The sequence below is a fragment of the Homo sapiens genome, chromosome 12 (assembly GCF_000001405.40).
Source record: "Homo sapiens chromosome 12, GRCh38.p14 Primary Assembly".
NCBI classification, from domain to species: Eukaryota; Metazoa; Chordata; class Mammalia; order Primates; family Hominidae; genus Homo; species Homo sapiens.
Window position 1 is genome coordinate 74,321,286 of NC_000012.12, and position 22,975 is coordinate 74,344,260.

The 22,975-nt window shown below is 33.3% G+C and overlaps 1 long non-coding RNA gene across 1 annotated transcript in view; it reads right to left on the minus strand.

Annotated features, from left to right (window-relative positions):
* Window positions 1–20,050, minus strand: part of LOC107987178 (uncharacterized) — a 34,970-nt gene extending 14,920 nt beyond the window's left edge. The window contains exons 1-2 of the long non-coding RNA XR_001749203.3: window positions 18,380–20,050; window positions 250–409 (exon numbers count right to left, since the gene is read on the minus strand). This is a non-coding gene — a long non-coding RNA (uncharacterized LOC107987178). The remainder of the gene's footprint in view (window positions 1–249; window positions 410–18,379) is intronic.
* Between the last annotated feature and the right edge of the window lie 2,925 nt (window positions 20,051–22,975).

The window sequence follows — 22,975 nt, forward strand, 5'->3', positions numbered from 1 at the left end:
CATTTAAAAATATTAAGGATGAAATTATCTCAAAATATGTGTAAAAACAAAGTAAAAACATGAAGCACAATTTAGAGCAACAAATTTGTGTAGTACAAATATACGGTTACAGCATATCACAACTCTGGCTTATGGAGTAGGTCTGGGCCCCAGAAGGTTCACAGCTCATATGTCTTACAGTTTATTCATTCCCACCGTCTCCATGCTTTGGAAAAAGGGGTAATGTCCCAGCTCATTCAGTCTCCTCACCTGGCTCCAGCACGTGGCTCCTGGGCTGGCCCAGCTCTGCCTCCACTTCCTGTCACATGGGACTGCCACTCAGCGCCAGTGGAGGATGGAAGATGGGAGGGCTGTGGTGTTACAGCAGCATCTTTGGCACCTGCTGTTCGGCAGGTCTCAGGTTCTTGTTCTGTGTCCAAGAAGAATGAGGACAACCGAAAAGTGAGGGAGGCAGGGAAGAATTTTATTGAGAGACAGAACAGCTCTCAGAGGAGGGGGAACCCGAAGTGGGTAGTCCCTACTGGAAGGCAGGTCCCTACTGGAAGGTAGGCATGTGTAGCTAAGTCTAGGGTTTTTATAGGCTCAGAACTGGGGAGGCCCAGGCGGTAGGTGCCTTGCAAAAGGCAACATTCCGTTGGTTAAAAAGCATTATTCAGAAAGAACCAGCTAGGAAAGAGCTGGCAAACAGGAATAGAGGTTCTCCCTCTGGTCGTGGACTCCATCCAGAACTGGCAACCTGGTTTTCAGGCTTCAGGCTGTTTTTGGGTTGAAGATCTGGTTTCACCAGGGACGTGCCCCTATCTATCTAGAAATTTGTCTGCCTACTGCCTCTAACAGAATGTTCATATATAGAAAGACCTAAAGTTGTAAAGATGTCAATTTTATCTAATTGAAATTATATGCAAGGTAGTCAGTATCAAAATCCAAAAGTAATGGCTGATGGTTCTGAAAAAATTAATTCTAAAGCTTACCTCACATAGTAAATGTGAGTTAAGCAACTTTCAGAACATTAAAAAATAATTTCCCCCCAAATTTTTAAAACATATAAAGTATGGTAATTAAAAACTTATGTTACTAGGTCAGGCACAGTGGCTCATGCCTGTAATCCCAGCTACTTGGGAAGCTCAGGCAGGAGAATTGCTTGAACCAGGGAGGCAGAGGTAGCAGTGAGCTGAGATTACACCACTGCACTCCAGCCTGGGTGACAGAGTGAGACTCTGTCAAAAAAAAAAAAAACAAAAAAACTTATAGTTCTGAAACAGTGTTATATTGGAAATAGATTGTCTTGCATCATGCCCAAATACATACATAAATGAATATCAGATGAAGACGACAAATAATGGTAAATTAGGAAATATTCAAGTGGCATAGATGTAAACAACAAGCATGGGAGCAGATACAAAAATAAATAAATAAATAAATCTCAACCTGAGTACTACCTCGTAATAGATATTAGAAAACCATACAATTGCTGCAAGATAAAATTTTGAATACATATGTAATCCTGCTGTGAGTTTTACTGTAGGAAAATGAACAAAGTGAAAGAGGCAGTAATTTATGAATAATTTGTTTATATAAAATACTTGAACATCAATTTCTAAAAAAAAATAGGAAAAGGACAATCTGGAAAAATGCTTTCAATATATAAAAAAAATAAATTTTGAAAATGTAAAATGTCCTAACAAGTCAACGTGAAAATGATGACCATAGCAGAAAAATGCACACAAGTTTTGTTCATGTAATTAGCATAAGAGAAAATTTAAAGGGACATTAAACATTTAAAAATTTTTCAATGTTTGTAATGTAAGCTCACTGTAATAAATAAATTCATTTTTTAAACATCAATGTAATGAATAAATTCATTTTTTTAAAACGACCACAATGTGTCACCTTAAGTAATGTCACTTATGTTGGCTTTGGTGTGAGCATTTTTGTACATTGTTTTTTGAGACATAAATTAGTACAATTCTTCTTGAGGGTAATGTGTATATTTCAACCCATGCATATATTTAGATCCATTATCACAGAAATTTAAACAATACAATAATTGGAGAAGTAAACAAATTAGTAACTTCAGTGCAGCACAGTTTAACATAATACTATTAACAACCTAAATACTCCGTATTGCATAATATTGAAATATACTATTCCTAAGAATATTACTACATAATTATTTTTAATTGCATAAGAAAATCTAGTTTTAATATAGGAGTATCAAAATTGTTACTTGTTATAAGAAGCAAAATACAAATAGTTGAAATATTTAAGGATACTTTCAGGTAAAAATATAAGTGGGTATAAAGTTACAGTTAGATAAGAATAAACTTTGGTGTCCTATTGCAGAGTAGGGTGACTATCGTTAACAATAATTTATTGTATATTTCAAAATAGCTAGAAGACATTTTGAATGTTCTGACTACAAAGAAATGATAGATGTTTGTAGTGATGGATATGCTAATTATGGTGATTTTATCATTACACATTTATAGAAACATCACATTGTATCCCATAAATATGTACAATTATTATGTATAAATTAAAATTAAAATTTTTTAAATAAAACTTAAAAATCAAATACATAAAGAACTTGGTGATTGATTAGGGCATGGGCTGAATAACAGAAAATAATCAGCAGTTACTTTTAGGAATCTAGACTGAGTCACTAGGCATTAAGTGAAATCAGAAATAGTGGTTAAGGCTGGGCTCACAGAGTCAGACTCCATGTCAAAAACAACAACAACAACAACAAAAAACAGTGGTTAATAAACACTTTTGGAAAAAAGTTGATGAATTCAAACAGTGTGAGATACCCAAATAGAGCTGTTAGGTAGACAAAAGTTCTTAACAGGGGCCAGATTTGGCATGACATTTCAGGTATATTAAGGACTAAGAACAATAGAAAACTATTAAAGGATTTGAAAGAGTACATGAAAATTTTACAGACTGCAAACGGATAATAGATTAGAAGAAGACAATAGTGGGACATAAAATAGAAGAAAAAAAGAAATTATAACAGTCCAATCTTGAACCATGCTAATGTCTGTGGACATTGTAAGAAATGAATAAATGGGCCGGGCATAGTGGCTCATAACTATAATCCCAGAATTTTGGGAGGGAGAGGCACGCAGATCATCTGAGGTCAGGAGTTTGAGACCAGCCTGCCTAACATGGTGAAATCCCATCTCTACCAAAAATACAAAAAATTAGCCGGGCATGGCGGCACATGCCTGTAGTCCCAGGTACTCGGGAGGCTGAGGCAGGAGAATTGCTTCAACCTGAGAGGCCAACGTTGCAGTGAGCCAAGATCATGCCATTGCACTCCAGCCTGGGCGACAGAGCGAGACTCTGTCTCAAAAAATTAATTAATTAATTAATTAATTAATTAAACAAACAAAAAAACACAAAAAAATGAATAAATGTTTAGACTCAGAAATGACAAGACAGGTTCTTTTAGTGGTTTGATGGGTATGAGAAAGGAGAAGGTGTCACAAATTATCTGTTGCACAATGTGTAAATTTTGTATGATGAATTGGATGGTGGAACTATTTCTTGCAATGATAAAACACTAGCATTCACAAATCTGGGGTCTCAAAAATTAAGAGTTTAGTTTAGCACACATTATACCCTCTTTTTCCCCCCTCCGAGACACAGTCTGGCTCTGTCGCCAAGGCTGGAGTGCAGTGGTGCCATCTTAGTGCACCACAACCTCCGGCCCTCCCAGGTTCAAGCAATTCTCCTGCCTCAGCCTCCTGACTAGCTGGGATTACAGGCATGCACCACTATGCCCGGTTAATTTTTGTATTTTTAGTAGAGATGGGGTTTCACCATGTTGGCTGGCTGGTCTCTAACTCCTGACCTCTAGTGATCCACCCACCACGACCTCCCAAACTGTTGGGATTACAGGCATGAGTCACTGCACCTGACCAAGCATATATTATACACTTTTGAAAAAAAGTGCATATATCAAAGATATAGTTGTATATATCCATGAGACAGAGAAGTGTGGTCTAGTATACAGACACATAGAAATACGTATTTAGGAGACAAACAAATAGTCTTTGTATGAATAAGAATATGTTGTCTACGGTGCATTTAGAACGTGAACAGTTGTGAACTCAGGAAAGAGTTCTAAAAGACCCGGATAGAAGTCAGTTTGAGGCAGAAGCAGTAGAGGAGACTGAGAAGGAAAGGAGAAAATGAGAATTAGAAGACTGGAGTGCACGGAAGTTGATAATGCAGATTGTTTTAAGAAAAAAAGGAGAGTTCAATTTTGTCAAATGCTGTTGATACGATCCTTTGGATTTAGTAACATGAAGACTATTGGTGAACCCAGGGACAGCTATTCCCATGCAAGAGTGAAGAAAGAATAGATAATGCTCATTCATCCTTTCATTATTTTGATAAATATTAATTGGGCTTTTTGAGGACCACAGTTAAAGCAACGAACAGACAAATAAGATTTCTTCTTGACCAAAAGTTACATTATAGCCAAGAGAGATAAACAATAGAAAATTAAAATAAAAAGACATGGTGACTTCTGACAATGAAAAATATAATGGGGAGAACAAGGCAAATAATAGATAAAGTTGTTAGTGGGAGAGCTAAGTGAGATGGGGTGATCTGGTCATGTTGAAGATCTCTGCTGCAGCTCTCTGATGAGGTTCCTCGAAAACTTGCACTGCAACTAGGACTTCCTAAAAAGGCCTGCTTACCGGGGATCTGTGCTAGAGATGGTATCCTTGACTCCTATTGTTGTCTCCAGATGCTTTGATAGTGCTAGCTTGCTGACAACATAGATGCCTGTGTGCATCTCTTCTATTGAACACCTGAGCTGTAGCTCTTCTCCAGGCGCTAAAGCAGCAATGATTTCTCTTGAGCCCTAAATGCTTTGAGACAAAGGTATGTTCTGTTTATGTTTTCAGAATGCTTGTTTGTCCTATTTTGTTCACTGTTAGAGAGACACCAAATTAGCAATGTTTTACACCCAATATCTTATAGAAATTTTTTAAAAAATAGATTTATAGCTACAACCTTCTCATTTCCTAGGACACAGAATAAAGGCCATGGTGCATTCTAGAACAGGGAAAAAATAAAATCTAGTTGCAAATAACTTATCCTCAAAAGTCACTTAATCGTAACCATTATTAAGTATTTGTTATGTAGCTGAGTTGTTATTTAGCAGAATTGGGTTGGCTATCTTCTCTGCCTGAAGATTATTTTCTCTATCTCTCTGAAAGTTCCTTGATAAAATGATATCCCCAATGAGCAATTATTACTAGTTTCCAAGACAGTAAACATAGCTTAGACTCAAACTTAGATTGCAACTATACAGCAAAAAGATAATCTGTTGAAGGATGTAATTGCAGTGGTCAAAGAAGGAAAAGAAAGAAAAAAACAAAACGATAAACAATGAACCTTTCAACGACATGAAAGCAATAGGTGGCAAATAAAAACCAGGATTCAGCAGGGGCTTATAACTTAATATCCATGAATACATAACTACAAAGTACCTGCATAGGAAAAAATATTTTCTATAAACTTTTAATGAAATTTAGTAATTCTTTTAACTAAGTATATAGGCAAAAAAAGAGTACAATTAAGAGCACCTGTTACTACTTTGTTACTAATAGAAACAGTAGATAATTTTATGTCACAAAACAGTTGATTCAGAAATCTCAAAATATTTACACTAATCACTACTTTGAAGTTATGAAAGTTATTGCAGCTGGCACTAGATCTGTTGATTAATTGCTTTTAGAAAGCAAATGCATTACTACATAAAATGTATTATAAACATTTTATAATTGTCAAAATGATTTATTTTCATCATATATTTTTATTTTAGACATTCTGGGTTCTGTGACAGCTTGACCAGTAAAATACAGTGGAAGTGATTCTTTGATTTAATTTCCTTATCCAGGCCTTAAGAAGCTGGATTCTAATTCAAATATCAATATTCTCATAGTAACTAAATGTGCTATAGGTAATATGTAGGTATTTGATTTCATTTTATTTTTTGATATTAATAAACAATTATTGTAGCACCATCCACTAAACGGTCTTTCCTTTCTCCCTACTGAATTATATTTTTTCTCCCATTTGTTGGCTGGAAGTCACAACCCCTATGACCTTGGAAGAAGCTAACTGGGTCCTTTGATGACTGCTTGATGCATAACACTCAGCCTTCCCTCCCTATCACTACCTTTATCTGAGTAAGAAAAAAAAGTCTCTATTGTGTTAAGTCTCTGAGATTTCACCTTTTACCTATTAACAGTCATTAGTGTTAGATTGACTTACGTGCTGTTGAGTTCTATGCAGAAAATTTTCATTTTCATTTTACATGTTGAATCCAAAGAAGTGGTCTATAATTATCATTTTATCTTTATGTTGTCCAGTTATAATATCAAGTGTAAACTGGCACCCAAAATAAGTTGAATATATTTCTTTCCTTTTTAATTATCTTAAACATTTTGTATAAAGTATATATTATCTAGTTTTTTTTTAAGGTTTGGCAAGATCGTTATGAGGCTTTACTCCCTACTCTTTGGAGGGAGTAGGGATTTTTTAGTACTTTTGATCACAAATCCACTTGAGATTGCTTTTAAATATTATGAAAACTATGGATCCTTTAATTAGTAAACCATTGCATAAATACATATTTACTGAAAAGTTTTGCACTAAACTTTGTGTGTCCCTTTATCAGTTAATTGAATCAAGTTTATAAACCACTTACTTCAGCACAATGTTAACCATGGGTCAGAATGCTTATCATCCCTTATCAAAAATTTCCTTTATCCTTTTGTGCTGTTTTCTCCCTGGACTTTTATAGTGTTAATAGCTATAATTCAAATTCATTTAAATACTCCAGTTCTGACTTTCTTCTATCAAACTTGTTTTAATGTGAAAAAGTGCCACCAAGAGATATGTTGAGTAATTAAAAAGTTATCACCATTAGAAGGAGCAGTGAGTCACAAGTGAAGTTACTGTCATTGTAGGTTTAAAATAAGAAACTGTAATAAGCAAAACAAAAATCCTATTAAAATTAGGTAAGCAAAAGTAAACAAAACAATTTGTTTTATATTAGGACTTTATTCCTTTGAATAGAGTCAATAATTTAGTGACTTAAAATGGCTATAATCATTTTTCATATGCATTTAGATAAGGTAAATCACCCTAATGTTTATATAGAGCTGGTCAAGTTCGAAGGGCATTTGTGCCCATCTATTTCCTGCATTTACTTTATCCCTTCTTCTTCATGCATACACATGCACCATAACAGTGCAACACATCATGGATAGCTAATATCTGAGGGCCCATTAACATGCTGCTTATTTCTTGGCTAGGAGAATTGTTGGTGAGCCACATGTCATATTTTTTGGCCTCTAACTTTGTTTTCAGGCAACATCTACTACACAATGTTTGCCAAATAGCCTGAAGAGGTAGCAACTGACGCTGGGAACTGGCCCCGCATCTTTCTTATGGCAATAAAAAATGTTGCTAATGAATTACTCTTTAGGCTCCTAAACAAGAACTGAATTCATAAGATTCTCCAAATACCTATATTAGAATTCCTCACATGCCTAGACCATACTCTAGTCACTTGATAGATCCCTGACAGATTTGCCCTTTCTGAAACTGCTCCCTAGACATGTGTCCACCTCTTTAAGCAAACAGAAGTAATAAGCAAACATGCTTTTGAGCCATATTTCCAAATGGGACTTAAGATGAAGGATTCTTCTCTTATTTTTATCTCCATTTGGAAATGATCTCTGTAACATTACCTTTCAGTTCAAGTGTGTGAATGTGCCATGGGGACTGCTATAATGCTAGTCACTTGAAACAGAGGACATTTTTACATGGTACTTGAAAATTTTATATTCAATGGAGAAGTGAAATTGAGAACCAAAATCATTTGTACATAGCTTTGAATTTTCTACATTCATTTTCTCTTTTATAGTGAAAAGCAACCCTAGGTAATAAGAAGCGTTAGAGAGAATGCAATTTACTGCTAAATCTACTATTTGTAGGACGTATGTAAAACTGACTGAGGGGGACAGATGCTTGGTTTTTATTCCCCTCTTTACTACTAACTTACTTTACAACCTTTATCCATGCAATTAACTTCTTTATTCTTGATTCATCTAATTTAACTGTAATGGCCATTATGAAAATTACAAAAATATGTATTTATTTTTTTCATACTTAGCCTTTAGTGTTTCCAGCCCATGTAAATAAATTGTTACAAGACATTATTATGATAAAGATTATATCTTCTGTCCAAATATTATGTCTCAGTTTCCCTCTCTATCTTTGAGGTTATTCAATCAAATGCTCTCCAAAGCTGTAGAGGGGAGAAAGGACTATTTGATTTCATCTGCGATATGGACTAAATTAGACTAGTTTATTAAAATTGCGAGTCATAGCAGAATTGAAAAATAAGTTTCACAGATTACAAGCAATATTTAAAAAAAAAATTACCTGATTTTTTTTCAGTAATATATGTATTTACTGAGGCACAATGTAAAATGCCTTCATTATTATGGATTGAGATTATAAAATTATTTGATAATCTGCTATTTAGACTCTATATTTGATATTATTGAATCTACTAGTTCTTTATTTACTTTTGTTTCCTAGATTAAAGTCATTTTTATTGACAAATTTTAAACCACTTTATTTAGCTATGATTACCATACAATAAACCATACATGTTTAATGTATACTGCTTGATGAGTTTGTATATATCCATGAAACCATCACCACAATCTATGCCATAAACCTATCCATCACCTCGAAAGGTTTCCTCCTGCTTTCTTGTTTATTAGTTTTTTTGTGTGTGTGATAAGAACATTTGGCATAAGATCTGCCTTCTTAGTAAATTTTTAAATATACAATACAGTATTGTTACCAATAGGAGTACATTGTACAGTAATTCTCTAGGATTTCTTCACCTTACGTAACTGAAACTCCATATCTTTTGACAAAAACTTCTGTTTCTCCTTTCCTCCAGTTCCTGGCAACTGCTATTTAACTCTCTGTTTCTGTAAGTTTAACTATTTTTAGATTTGTTATATAATGGTAGCATGTAGTATTTGTTTTTCTGTGTCTGACTTGTTTCACTTAGCCTAATGTTTCCAAGATTCATCCATGTTGTCACAAATGGTAGAATTTTCTTCTTTTTCAAGGCTAAATACTATTCCATATACATATACTATGTATATGCCATATTTTATTTATCCACTCATCTGTTGATGGATATTTAGGTTGTGAATAATACTGCAATAAACATGGGAGTGCAAATATCTCTTCAAAATAATGAAGTCAGTTCCTTTGGATAAATACCCAGAAGTGAAACTGTTATATCATATGGTAGTTCTATTATTAATTTTTTCATGAAACTCTATACTGTTTTTCATAATGACTTCACCAATTTATATTTTCACCAACAGTATATAAAGATACCCTTTCTTCACATCCTCATCAACATTTGTGCTTTTTTATAATAGCCAGCTTAATATGTATGAGGTGATATTTCATTGTGGTTTTGATTTACATTTTGTTGATATTAGTGATCTTGTGCACTATTAGTGATGCTGACTAAGAATCCCATTTGGTAATTTATATTTCTTCTTTGGAGGAATGTCTATTCAGTTCCTTTGCCCATTTTTAATGTGGTTACTTGTCACAAAGCTACAGTAATTGTGACAGTATATTACTGGCATTAAACAGACATATAGATCACTGGAACACAATAGAGAGCCCAGAAATTAAACCACTTCTATACGGTTAACTTAGATAAGTGTGCCAAGAATGACAATGGGGAAATGATGGTTTGTTCATCAAATGATGTTGGGAAAACTAGATATCCACATGCAAAATAAAGAAATTGAACCCTTATCTTACATCCTACACAAAAATCAACTCTAAATGGATTAAAGACTTAAAGCTAAGACTAGAAACAATCAAACTTCCAGAAGAAAACATTGAAAAATCTTGACATTGTCCTTGGAAATGATTTATTGGATAAAACACCAAAGGCACAAGCAATGAAAGCAAAAATAGACAAGGGAACTATCTCAAACTAAAAAGCTTCTGCACAGCAAAGCAAACAACAGAATGGAAAGACAACCTACAGGATGAGATGAAATATTTGCAAAAGATATATCTGATAAAGAGGTAATATCCAAAATATATAAGGAACTCCTACAACTAAATAGCAAAAATAAATAATAATTATAACCCAATTGAGTGACAGTCTTAAACCTTATTTTTTAATATTGTATTCGAATATATATTATCCCAATCTAATCATGAAGAAAACATCAGAAAATTCCAAATTGAAAGTAGTTTTATCCAAATGGTAAAACTGATTGGTACAATAATTTTGCCTAAATATTTCGAAAATAAGAGCTTGTTGTCTCTTTGGAAAGAGATTTCACATGGGGTAAAATGTTTTTCCTCTAGTTTCATAGCCATTAGTATTTACTTATATTAATGATTATTAGGTGACTTGGAGGTCTAGTGGGTAGCAGCTTTAACACATGAGTACTTGACTAATCCTCTAATAGGAGCAGAGGGCCTCAGAAGTGACCAGGCAGATGTGAGATTCATTATTCACATAGGATCTGATTAAGCAGATCATCTTTCTTTCAGAGTATGAAAGGAATGTTGTTATTAGGGCTGATTTGCACTCTAACTCCTACCAATTACCTTACTAATTATGCCTGTGGGCCACAAAGTGTCAATATGTTCTAAAGATACAGGAAAAGCTTTTTCACTTAGTTTTATTGGCAAGATCTTTGAGTTGAGTTTGTGCATCTGTGTATGTGTGTTTGCGTAATCATGGGTGTGATGTATCTCAGAGTTAAGCTTATATCATTAGGTTCTCTGGAAAAAATGATATTTTCTTGGAGACAAAAGTCTTTGAATGATCACTTAAAGGACATACTTTCCTTGGAATCCTCTTCTTTGTTTTAGTACAAGTTTGAGTTTCTCAGTAATAGAAACTTGAGTGAAATTAGGAAAGTGGAAGCGAAGTGATAAACATTAAGGTAGGGCTGTTCCATTGCTGGTCAGGCGTGATGCTTGGTGTCCTCTATGACTTTCAGTTCTGGGAAAAAGAGAAGAAGGCTTGTCAAAAGTCCCTGGGGTTGGTGGTTTCCTTCCTACCTGCCTCAGCCTATGCTTCAGCTGACAGCATTAGAGACTCTTTCCAGTCCTTTAGCTCTAGTTTACCTATTTTTGCTCCCCCAGTTTCTGCCAGATACATGTAAACTGAAATCCCTATATTTAGACCCTTTATTCCTGTAATTCTATTTTTCTAAGAAAGCAGAATAAAATTATCCCTGAAATTAGCAATAGGGGAAGTAATATTAGGCAAAAATAATGTTATTCATACTATATAGCAGATAAATTGAAATCCAAGGAAATTACAATCTCAGAAATATTACAAATCAAAACTAATTTTTATTATTGATTGTGTTAGAGTACCTTTTTCTGATATGAAGAAATTCTCAATTTTTTGATAATATTAGCTTGTACCATCAAGCTGGATTTGTAGATCAAAATGGTTGAAGGCTGGCAATTTCATGTAGCTCAGTCTAATAATTTATATCAATCAGGAAGAAATAATTATTTTTTATAGGTGAAGGTAGATTAACATTTTCTTCTAGATAGCACTCAAGTGGGAAATAAGTACATGGGGAATGGTGTTCAAAAGCTATGAAGAGTGTACTTGAGTGGAACATTACTGACCAAAGAAGTTAAAAAAAAAATAAAAACTGAGAGAAAACTTTGATAACTAAAGTCTTTTCCAATTTAAAAGTGTTTTCTTGCTGTCAAGCCTGAATGATTTCCCAGAATGTAAGAGCATCATATGATTTTGGAAGAAATTGTATTAATGCTATTTTTTTGATTGGTAAAACTGTGTTTATGTGAGATTCCACCTTTCCATTCACTAAGCAAATAACATTATAATGGGTTCTGAAATTAATTAATGTGTTTCTAGCCCATGCACATATTTAGGAAGAATGAAGAATTTGGCTTCTAAATAACATACTCCAGTATAATTTTTAGCATATATTTAAGAATGACCTAAAGGACACTTATGTTAGAGTACTCATTGTTGTATTAAAATACAAAAACTGAATTTAGTTTCATGTTCAATTTTCCTTTCTTCTAATTATCCCCAGGAATAACAGATGTTTAAAAGGACAATTTCAGAAAAGTTTCTTCAGCTACAATCAGTGTGAGAAGTCTGGCAGGTGTTTATTTTTAAAAGTGGTGAGATTAATGTACTCTGTGAATAATGTAATGAGGTATGCTAGGAAGATTTCTTATAAGTCAAGAGAGAGAAAAAAAGTAAAACACAGTTAGAATGTAAAACCTCTCCTATAATTTGTAATTCATTTATAAAATCCAGAGTCATTGCAATGATTCAAAGCAATATAGTCAGACTAAATGCTTTATTTGGTGAATTTCTGCTAGATAGCAATGCTAAAACTAGGAAAGAAGCAAGTGCATGCCTTTTACCACATTATGAGATATATTTTCTGAATGTTTAAAATGCTTTAATTTGTAGGATTGGTTCGATTCCACCATTTTCATGATTTATATATATCATAAGCTTTACCTTTAGTCAAATGTGAACTTGTACAATTGAGTCTTTCATTTTATACTCAGATGCTTTGAAGTCCACAGATCTAATAATTCTCGTAGCTCCTTTGGAATTTTCAGTTTGGGAGGAGCTCAAAATTTACAGATAAAGTGATTAAATAATAATGATTACATGTAAATATAATTAACATATATAAACATAATTTTGATCCAATCTTTAATAATTAAACCTCTTTCTTCCAAAATTTTTAAACTTTTGTCCTTTATGTTTTAAAATATATCTAAAGAATATTTCCAGGTACCTATTCTGCATCTCATTTAATTATTTTACATATGAAAAATGGAAACTACATCTTAAATAGCATTTAAAAATAAAATGTATGAACCCACACAGTAGGTAGTCCAGATTTAGGCCAGTCTCCTGGAATGTTTGATTTGGCTTCTAAAAGATGTTATGAAGGGCTAAGTTTATTTCTGTGCCCTTTCTCTGCCACTGAAGATTACAGTCATCATAAGGTCAGTTCTCCTCATAAACATGAGATGTCTGTTAGCAGAAATTGTGATACCCAGCATCCTTGTTCACATCAAATGGAAAAGACTGGATTAACTTTATAAAAAGTCCAAAGCAAATATTTAGTTGCATTTCATGGTCCAAATTTGTCAAACTTGTCCATCTCCAAACTAAGCACTGACAAAGTTGAAAACATCATCATGACTTAGACTGATTGACTTAGAATACCTATTTCACAGGGAATATGTGATGGTTACTCAGTCATAATGGCTATGATATACTCTCCAAGCTGGTTTTTAATAATTAATGCCAAGATTAGTTTTAGTAAAATAGTTTTGTCATTTTTATGTTTACAGTGATTATTTGAGGAATATACTTCCATTAAAACTGAGACCAAATTATGGTCTACAACTTCAGATGGACTCTTAATTACCATTTGGCTATCCTCTTATGTATTCCAATTTAGCATCTTCTCCTATTTCTAACCACAACTATGGCAAGTCTTTCCTAATCTCCTTCATTGCTGGTGCCAGCAATGTCTAAGTACTTCCTGTGAAACAAACAAAAGCTACAAGGTAAACAAACCTATTATAGTATCATCTCAAATTTCAATACATGAGAATGCCAGGAAGATGGGAGAGACTCAGCATCTACAACTAGAGTGACTCCTGAGTGAGAAGTGACTTGATTTTGCAAGTAGTCTTCAAAAATGGAGAGGCATTTTTTGGAGACAAGAGAACTCCAGTAGGAGGGGCCCATAATGAATATAATATTTCCACGAAAGAACCTGTTGCGAATTTCACTGATGGGTGAGATAGAATGACTTATGGAAGACCAAAATTTCCTTGAAAAAAAAAACTAGAGAAGTTATATTAAATAAGAAAAAAATAAGTACATATTTCAAGGTTTCAGAAAACTATTAAAATGCCTTGGACTAACAAGATAAATATTACAAAGGGTGAAAACCCACAGAAAAGTGATGTCTTAATCTGATATTGAATTTTCCCTAAGCGAATTTGAATTTTTCACATGTGAACATAAGACTATGATATGAACTTTTCCCTGAAAAGGGCCACTGAGAGACAAAATTGGAAATAGGAGAAGCCCCAAACACATGCTCCCTTAACACAGTTGCTGAAATCTGAATATTCTTAGGGAAGGAGACTAAAGGGCCAAGTTTAAGTCCTCTAAGAAGTAGAGCAGAGTTTTCATCGAATTTACAGAAAATAAGAAGATTAAACTTATAACGAATAGAGTAAAATGATGTTAACATTTCAAAGTATCAGTTGAAGAAAGATGAGGCACAGTAGAAGACAGGATCAGTGAACAGGAAAACAATTCAGTAGAAAATAGGCAACCTAAAGCATAAACAAAAATTATAAAATGATAAAAATTATAAATGTTATTAGAAAAAGTTCCTAAAAGAAAAATGAGTAATGAAAGCTTTGAATATTTCCAATTAAAATCTCTGAAAAATAGGACAGAGGGAGTCAGGAAGATACAATCTCTGAACTGATAATACTTCGGAATTTCTAAAAACTTATGAGAATATTAACCTACTTATGAGAAAAGACCCGTAAACCCATAAGAACATATACAAAGAACCTACACATAGACCTTTCAGAGTTAAACTGCTGAAAATTAAAGACAAAGACAAGTTCCAGACAAAGGTAGAAGAGAAACACACCACTTCCCTGCTTTTCCCATTCTGCCTTTCAGCTTGCCACAAGCCCAGCTGGATAAGGAGACACGGGTTGGGTTAAATTAAGTTTAACTCCAATTCTGTTTAATAATTTAATATCTTTCCCTGAACATTCTTATACTCTTATGGGAACTGTTTACAATTAACTCTTATTACAGGAAAATATTTGTTATATAGGAAATAGAGCAGCAGAGTTACAGGTCTGCTCGAGCTCTCCTTTAGGAACTACAGAATGTAGTCTCCAGCGATATATTTTGAAGAAATTAGAGTAGAAAACAAAAGCTCTGTATTATCATTTCTCAGAAGATGTTAGCTAAATGTACTGATTCCTTGAAAGTGTACCAGTATATTTTATCTCTTCAAAAAAGATTCTCACTTGGTATTCTACATTATTTCATTATTAAATTCTTCCTCTATCACTCAATGCATTTTGTCTGGCTGAATTCTCACACAAGGTCAAGACTACACACTCTCACATCACTCCATCTGGCCTAGACTGTTTCTTTAAATTTCAAAAACACATATATAATTGTCCTTCCACCTGGCTAATATCTTATCCATCTCACTAAAAACCTGAGATTAAGGCTACAGTCTTTCCACTACCTTTCTCTTACTCCTACCTCTACATATTCCTGTACCCTACTCTCTTTCTGTTCTGGTATTTTATCAATCATTCCATCATGTTGCTTTTTTCTTCCTAAATATGTTTTTTTGATTTTTCATTTCTACTTGCAGCCACTCTTTTAGCTGTAGTGCTACTTAGCTCTTTCTTGTCTTGTCCCAATAACTTCCTAATTGCTCTTTTTGCCTCTGGTTTTATAAAGCCTGGTGTGTATGTTGTCAATATTTGATATTATCAGGATTTTAAAAAATTTGGCCATGTCACTTTTAATGGTTAAAAACCTGCAGTGTATCCAAAAGAAATAAAAGACAATATATCCAAGAGATATCTGCACTCTCATGTTTATTGCAGCACTATTCACAATAGCCAAAATAAGGAATTGACATAAGTGACTATCAACAGATGAGTGGAGAAGGAAAATGTGGTAGGTTTACATAATGGAATAGTATTCAGTCATAAAAAAGAATGAAATCCTGTCATTTGCAGCAAAATGCAATTAGCTGAGAGTCATTATGTTAAATAAAATAAGCCAAGAACAAAAACACAAATATCAAATGTTCTTACTCATATATGGAAGTTTAAAAAGTGGAGCTAATAAAGATAGAGAGTTGATTGGTGGTTACCAGGAGATGCCAAGGAGGTGAGGATCAATGGGGGAAAATATAAATGTATTTATTATTAAAGGTGGTCATTTATGTACATATAGTTTATCTCAATTTAAAAAATCTAAAGTAGTTGTAAGAAACAAATCTTTTTATAATCATCTTCCTGGTTTCTATCCTCATGTCACATAAATATAGTCATGCTTCGGGATTGGTTCTAGGACCAAAATCTGCAGATGCTCCAGTTTCTGATATAAAATAGTGTAGTATTTATAGCTGACTATATACATCCTCCTGTACACTTTGTCATCTCTAAATTACTCAAAATGCCTAATATAATGTAAATAATATGTAAATCGTTTTTATGCTGTATCATTCAGGGAATGATAACATGGAAAAATGTCTCTACATGTTTAATATGGACACAATTTTAAAAAATAGTTTTGATTCACACTTGGTGGAATCTACGTATATGAAAAGTTGACTCTATTTGTTAAATTGAATGTATTAATAATGTATGTTATCTATTGCTCTAGGTGTATGTATATGAAAGAAATGGAAAAAAATGACAATGATGATGAATTTAAGGGTCTAAATTTCCATCAAACAACTTTTGGAACTCTTATATTCAGGGCATTTTTCTCTAATTAAAACCTTTTTATATAGACACATTTTGGTTACAATTCACATTTGAATACAACACTAAGTGATTGATTCATAAAATGTATAATGTTTGTTTTAAACTGCCTTTTGAACAGAGGATATGATTCAGTCTGAGTCATTCATACTTTCTCTGTGAGCCCTGGATGGACAATGACATAGTTCTGTACAATGGCTGAGGTGCTATCTCTTGTCCCTAAACAGACCAGATGAGATGAACTATTCTTGAAAATTAATATGTTATTGGTCACTAAGCCATACTTCCATAATTTACTAAATTGATGTGATAAACGACACCTTACTTATATAAAAGTTCTAATGCATTTCAAAAGTATGCAATATTTTCTAGCCACTGATTTATTCATGCAGCACCAAATCTATCAAACAATATATAAACCTCCTTATTTTGTATGGAGAGTTGTATGAAATTGAACAATGGTGTATACAATAAGCAAATTGTAAAAAAATGAGAGAAAGCATGTTTCAAAAAGGAAAAAAAAATCCATAGTTCATCTTGACTCTTTAGAAAAGTCCAAAATAAACAAATCTGATCTATTTTTTTCTGAAGAACATTAATATCTAATATTTTTTGAGCATTTACAATATGCCAGGTATTTTCTCTTCTAGACATTATTTATTCATTCATATCCACTAAATGAGTGTTTAGAGAACCCCTTCTATGTGATTCCAGTGGTGAAAAAAATAATAGACCTTGTCCATCTGTAACTTACGTTCCAGTGAAAATTATCTCATTTAAACGTTAGAACAGCATAACAGCTTAGTATCTAATATTGGCTTCCTTGAGAGAAACCGAGGTTTAGGCTAACATGATAATTTACCTGTGGCCACAGGTGGCAGTTATATAGGAGCTGGGTCTGAATAGTTGGGTCTTTCTTAACTCAGAAACCCCAGCATTTAACCGCTACTCTCTATTGCCTACATATAAAAGTGTATAAAATGTTACACAGTTATTATATAAATTCAACTATCAATATTACAACCATGAGATTAGTCTTTCAAAAGTAAAGAACAGGCTCTACTAATCAACATGAGTTAGATGCTAACGTCAAACATAATTTCATGTAAATAGTATTACCCAAATAGATTACCTTTGAAAATCCGTTCAAATGGATCTACATTGAGACTGTCTCTCAATATGTAATTAGAGCCAGGTTTTTCTTGTTTAGTTTGTTTTGTTTGGGGTTTATATTAGTTTCCTCGGGCTGCCATAACAATGTACCACAATGTGGGTGGCTTACAACAAGAAAAATTCATTCTCTCACAGTTCAGGATTTCAGAGCCCCAAATTAAAACGTTTACAGTGTTGGTTCTTTCTTGGGAGCTCAGAGGGAAAATCTGTTCCAAGTTCTCTCCTAGCTTCTGGTGGCTGCTGGCAATTCTTTGAGTCCCTTGGCTGATGTCAGCATAACTCCATGTCTTAAATTTGAAAATACTACTTATCAATGTGTCACAGGCTTTGAGTCAGGATTCTCTAATACTTTTTTTATGTTAGTCCTAAATGTTTCCTAACATTTTTCTCACACCACAAAAGGTACAAAAGCATATGACTACTGCTTAAATAGGAACAAAAGATGTAACATTGGCACAGGCTCCATTGAAATGTACACAGAAAGTAAAAAGTGAAAAGGCTCAATGTCAATGCTTACCTCTCCAACAATATAGAGAAATCCTGAAACCACATCTGGAAGCTACATGGGGTTTCACTGAAGAGTGAAAGATGATGATAGATTGAAAGTGAGTTTCATTGTTTGAAGTAGGGTATTCTAGGCAATGATGACTGAGGGGGAAAAAAGGAGTGTCATTATCTTTGAAAGGAAAAAGTAGAGATATCATTTTCTAGTTAAGTGTATTCAGTTTGTATGAAACAGTATCCAAAAACTGATTTTAAGTTAGCCCATTGTCTTATGAAACCTGCCTCTTTATTCTCAGGGGTGCCATCAAACAATATATGAAATTGAAATTAAGTACACTTGTTTATCCAAACTTGTAGCTTAATGGGGTGAAAGGAAGAGGAACATGGCTTATCAATGGCTATGTATCATTACTCTCAAATGAAAAACATGCAAATTATACATTGTCCTGATAATAGACTATAATCAGAATGGAATTAAAAATGTAACTTACCTCACTGGACCTGTGACTTCATGGATAAAATGTTCAGTTATGGATCAATATGCTGCGATCAATCCCTTGACACTATTTAATTAAAGCATAGAATTCTGGCCAGAATTTATGTCTCTAAATTAAAACACATTACAGATTAACCAGTGCTATACAAATCCAAACACCTATGTAAGACATGGCTGAGCACATAATGACCCAGACACTTGCCTGCTTCAATCCTCGCACCCCAAATGAGCAATTCACTACCATAAAAAAGCTTCCAGATTGTTCAGAGAGAGACAATGATGCCAGGTCTCAAATTAGCCTGTGTGGAGATTGGTTTTATCATGTCCCACATAAATCATCCAGAGTTGCAAACAAAGCTTTAAGAAACTCGAAAAAAATGCTAGTTAATATAAAAAAGGAATGTGTTTATCATTATATTATCAGATGTAGTGTTAGTTGAATAGTAATAGTCACAAAATAATAATTTAATGATGATAATAATAAAAAAATTTATCTTCAGTGTGTCAATCCAATTTAACCTTTAGTTAAAGGTCATTTAAAATATATATAAAATGAAATATATCTACTTCAGAGTTTGATATTAGTTTTCCCAGCATATTGATTTCTTATATCTCAAAATGGAAATTTCTTGAAATTTTGCACTATTTATAATGCACACGATGATAGAACAAGAGTCATTGATATAAGTTATGGTGGTAGAGTATCTCATGTTGGCAGATATAGTCTTCTGTAAATATTTCTATTACATAGTTCTAATTACACAGTCCTAAGTTCTTTTACATAGCAATAGTTCTTGATAATAAGCTGATATATATGACTTACAAATCAACTTGATTTTTATCATATAAAATAAGGATTTTTTTGAAATTTAAAATAAAATAAATTCTGATATTTGGACATTTTTTAGTGGTTAAAAAGTCAAACTGTTTCTCACATATCTGCTAGGTACAATGCTCTCTTTAATGCATTTAATGCAATAGTATTTGGGTAACTAAAAAAATTAGAAATTGAGTTTAAATGAATACAATAACTTTCGGGAGACTTGAGAGTAAAATAAATATTTTCCCTCATGAATTAATTCTGCTTCATGTGCCTAGCTTTCTTTTACAAATATGATACATAAGCTTTATCGCTATTCCATATTTAGTAAAAGAACCACAAGCCAAGGCTGGGCCCTGTGGTTCAGGCCTGTAATCCCACCACTTTGGGAGCCTAAGGCGGGAGGATTGCTTGAGGTCAGAAGTTCGAGACCAGCCTGGCCAAGTGGTGAAACCCCATCTCTACTGAAAATACAAAACTTAGCCCAGTGTAGTAGTGCATACCTGTAATCCCAGCTATTCGGGAGGCAGAGGCAGGAGAATCACTTGAACCTGGGAGGTGAAGGTTGCAGTGAGCTGAGGTCACGCCCCTGCACTCCATCACTCCATCCTGGGCAACAAGAGCGAAACTCCATCTCAAAACAACAACAAAAACAACAGCAACAACAAAACCCCACAATCTTTACTTAACCTATTTATAGTGAAAACAATTTTGTCACTTTATGCTTTCCCTCTGAAGTCTTGAACAAACTGAATCAACTTTTGTTTATGTTAAGCTGATTTTAGCATAAGAATGTTTCTGGTTTAACAATAAAATCTGATTCATTACATACTCCTTATTTGCAGTTGTTACAATGGCACAAAATTGAGCTTTTTTGCTCCTTGAACTTTTGTTTATTAGCTAAGCAATGCTAATGCTCATTCATAGTATTTGCATTCAGTTTATCAGGTATATGAGTTGCTGGTACCTTTAAAAATATTTATTATGAAATATGTCAGAGATGTCAACATTACATAAATGTACATTAAAATGGAAAATCATGCATTGACCATTTATGCAACCAACATCCAGGTTAAGTTAGAAAACATTCCCATCAACCCTATATCCCTTCATAATCACATTTCCTTCCTAACCCCTTGAGGTTAACATTGTCTTGACTCTTATTGTATTCACTTTTGTAATTTCCTTTATAGTTTTACCTCCCATATGTGCATCATAATAGAGCAGAGTTTTTCCTCTTTATGTATTTTTAATCAAAAAACATCATACTAAATACATTTTTTTAGTGTGCTTCTTTGGCTCAATATTTTTTTAAAAAATGAATCCATGGTGTTGAATTTAGCTTTGGTTTGATTAACTTCTTCACTGTAAAGCCTTCCATTTTATAAATATATAGAAGTGTATCCATCCTATTGTAAATAAATATTGTTATTTTTAATTTGGGACAATTATTAATAATCCTGCTACAAGCATCTCTATGCATGGGTCCTGATATGCTCCTATGGGCAATTCACTCAAGGCTGGAATTGTTTGTTTATCGGGTATGGATACTTTCAATTTCAGCAGATAATACCAGAGTATTCAAAATGATTGTAAAAATGTACACACAAACCAGTTGCATATAAAGAGTCCCATTGCTCCATGCATTTTATAACACATGGACTTGACAGATTTTCTAAGTGATTATTAAACACATTCCCAATTTTTCATATGATGCTGTGGTTATTTTAAATTTTATTCTGTTTTGAGGTTCTCATTCAAGAGTTTTGATAATTTTTTAAATGTGGTTTTTTTTTCCTTAAAAATAAATAGAAGTTCTGTAAATATTCTAGATATGAATTGCTCATCAATCATATATGTCAAAGTGTGTCTCCTGTTTTGTGACTTGTCTCTTCATACTTTTGTGGTTTCCCTGGAAGAAAAAAGCCCTTAATTTGGATCTAGATAAATTTCTCAATTACTTCCTGTATATGTCATAGGTAAAAAACTTTCCCTACCCAATTTGGTGAAAATATTGTATAATTTGTTTCTTCTCAAAAGCTTTAAAAACTTTAATGGCAAAGTTTTATTTCATGAAATACAGCATACATGCAATGTAACACATAAATATTTAGTATACAGCCTTATCAAATTTTGCAAACAAGTTCAACTATGTAATCACTACTCAGATCAAAATATAGAACATTAACAGCATACTAGAAACTTTGTACACCCTCTTTTCCAGCCAACAATATCCCAAATGTAACTGTTTCTGACCTTCAACAAAGTTGTTTTGCATATTTTAAAAATTTGTATAAATGAAATCATATAGCATACATCTCCTTATTACTAACCTCTTTTGCACATTATGTATTAGAGATATATTCATGCTATTGCATGTAGCTCTAACATGTTCCTTTTCATTGCTGTGTGACTTTCTACTTTCCGTTTATTGAAAAATACAGACAATGCATGTCTTGTACTGTAATTGACATATGAGTCAGTCCCGGTTTAGGGCTGCCATGAACATTCTTATACATATTTTTGATGCACATATATTTTTGTTTTTGTGGCATAGACCTAGAAATAAAATCACTAGGGTATGCCATTGTTCAGTTGGAGAAAATACTACTAAATTGTTTTAAAAATGTATTTTACCTTGTTGTGCTAAGGATTTGGTGAGCTTCTTGACTCTGGACTGTTGACACTATTGATTCTGGAACATTCTCATTTTATATTCAAGCATTGTTTTGAATTATTCCTTCTATCTGCTTCTTCTGAGACTTCAGTGATGTAGATTTTTGAATCGCTTACTGTATTTGTGGTTTTATTATCCTCTTTTCTCTAATTTGAGTCTTCTTGTTTCTCAATATTGTATTTTGAGTCCTTCTTAGATCTATTTTCCAGTTGGTGGGTTCTTTCTCTAGGTGTGTCTAAACCGCTCATACATACAGAATCTGCTTTCAAAACTATTTAGTAGTGAATTTTTTTTCCTGTTACTATCAGTTTTTAGTAGTATCTTTTTTTATGTTACTATGGGTTAACGTACAGGTACATTTTCCCAAGAATTTCTACTTCACTCTTATTCAAATATACTATGTCAGATTTTATAGATTTTTATTTTGTGCTAAAATTTTATGCTTTTTAGAACTCTGTATGAGCATGGTAAAATTTGTATGTGTTTGTGTGCACACGTGTGTATGTTTGTGTGCATTTAATTTGTAGCTGAAAATGCTAAAACTGAAGTCAATTGTTGGTCTATTTTTGAATTCTCTCCAGGTTTTGCTATGTCAGTCTTTTCTTTGTTTGTTTTG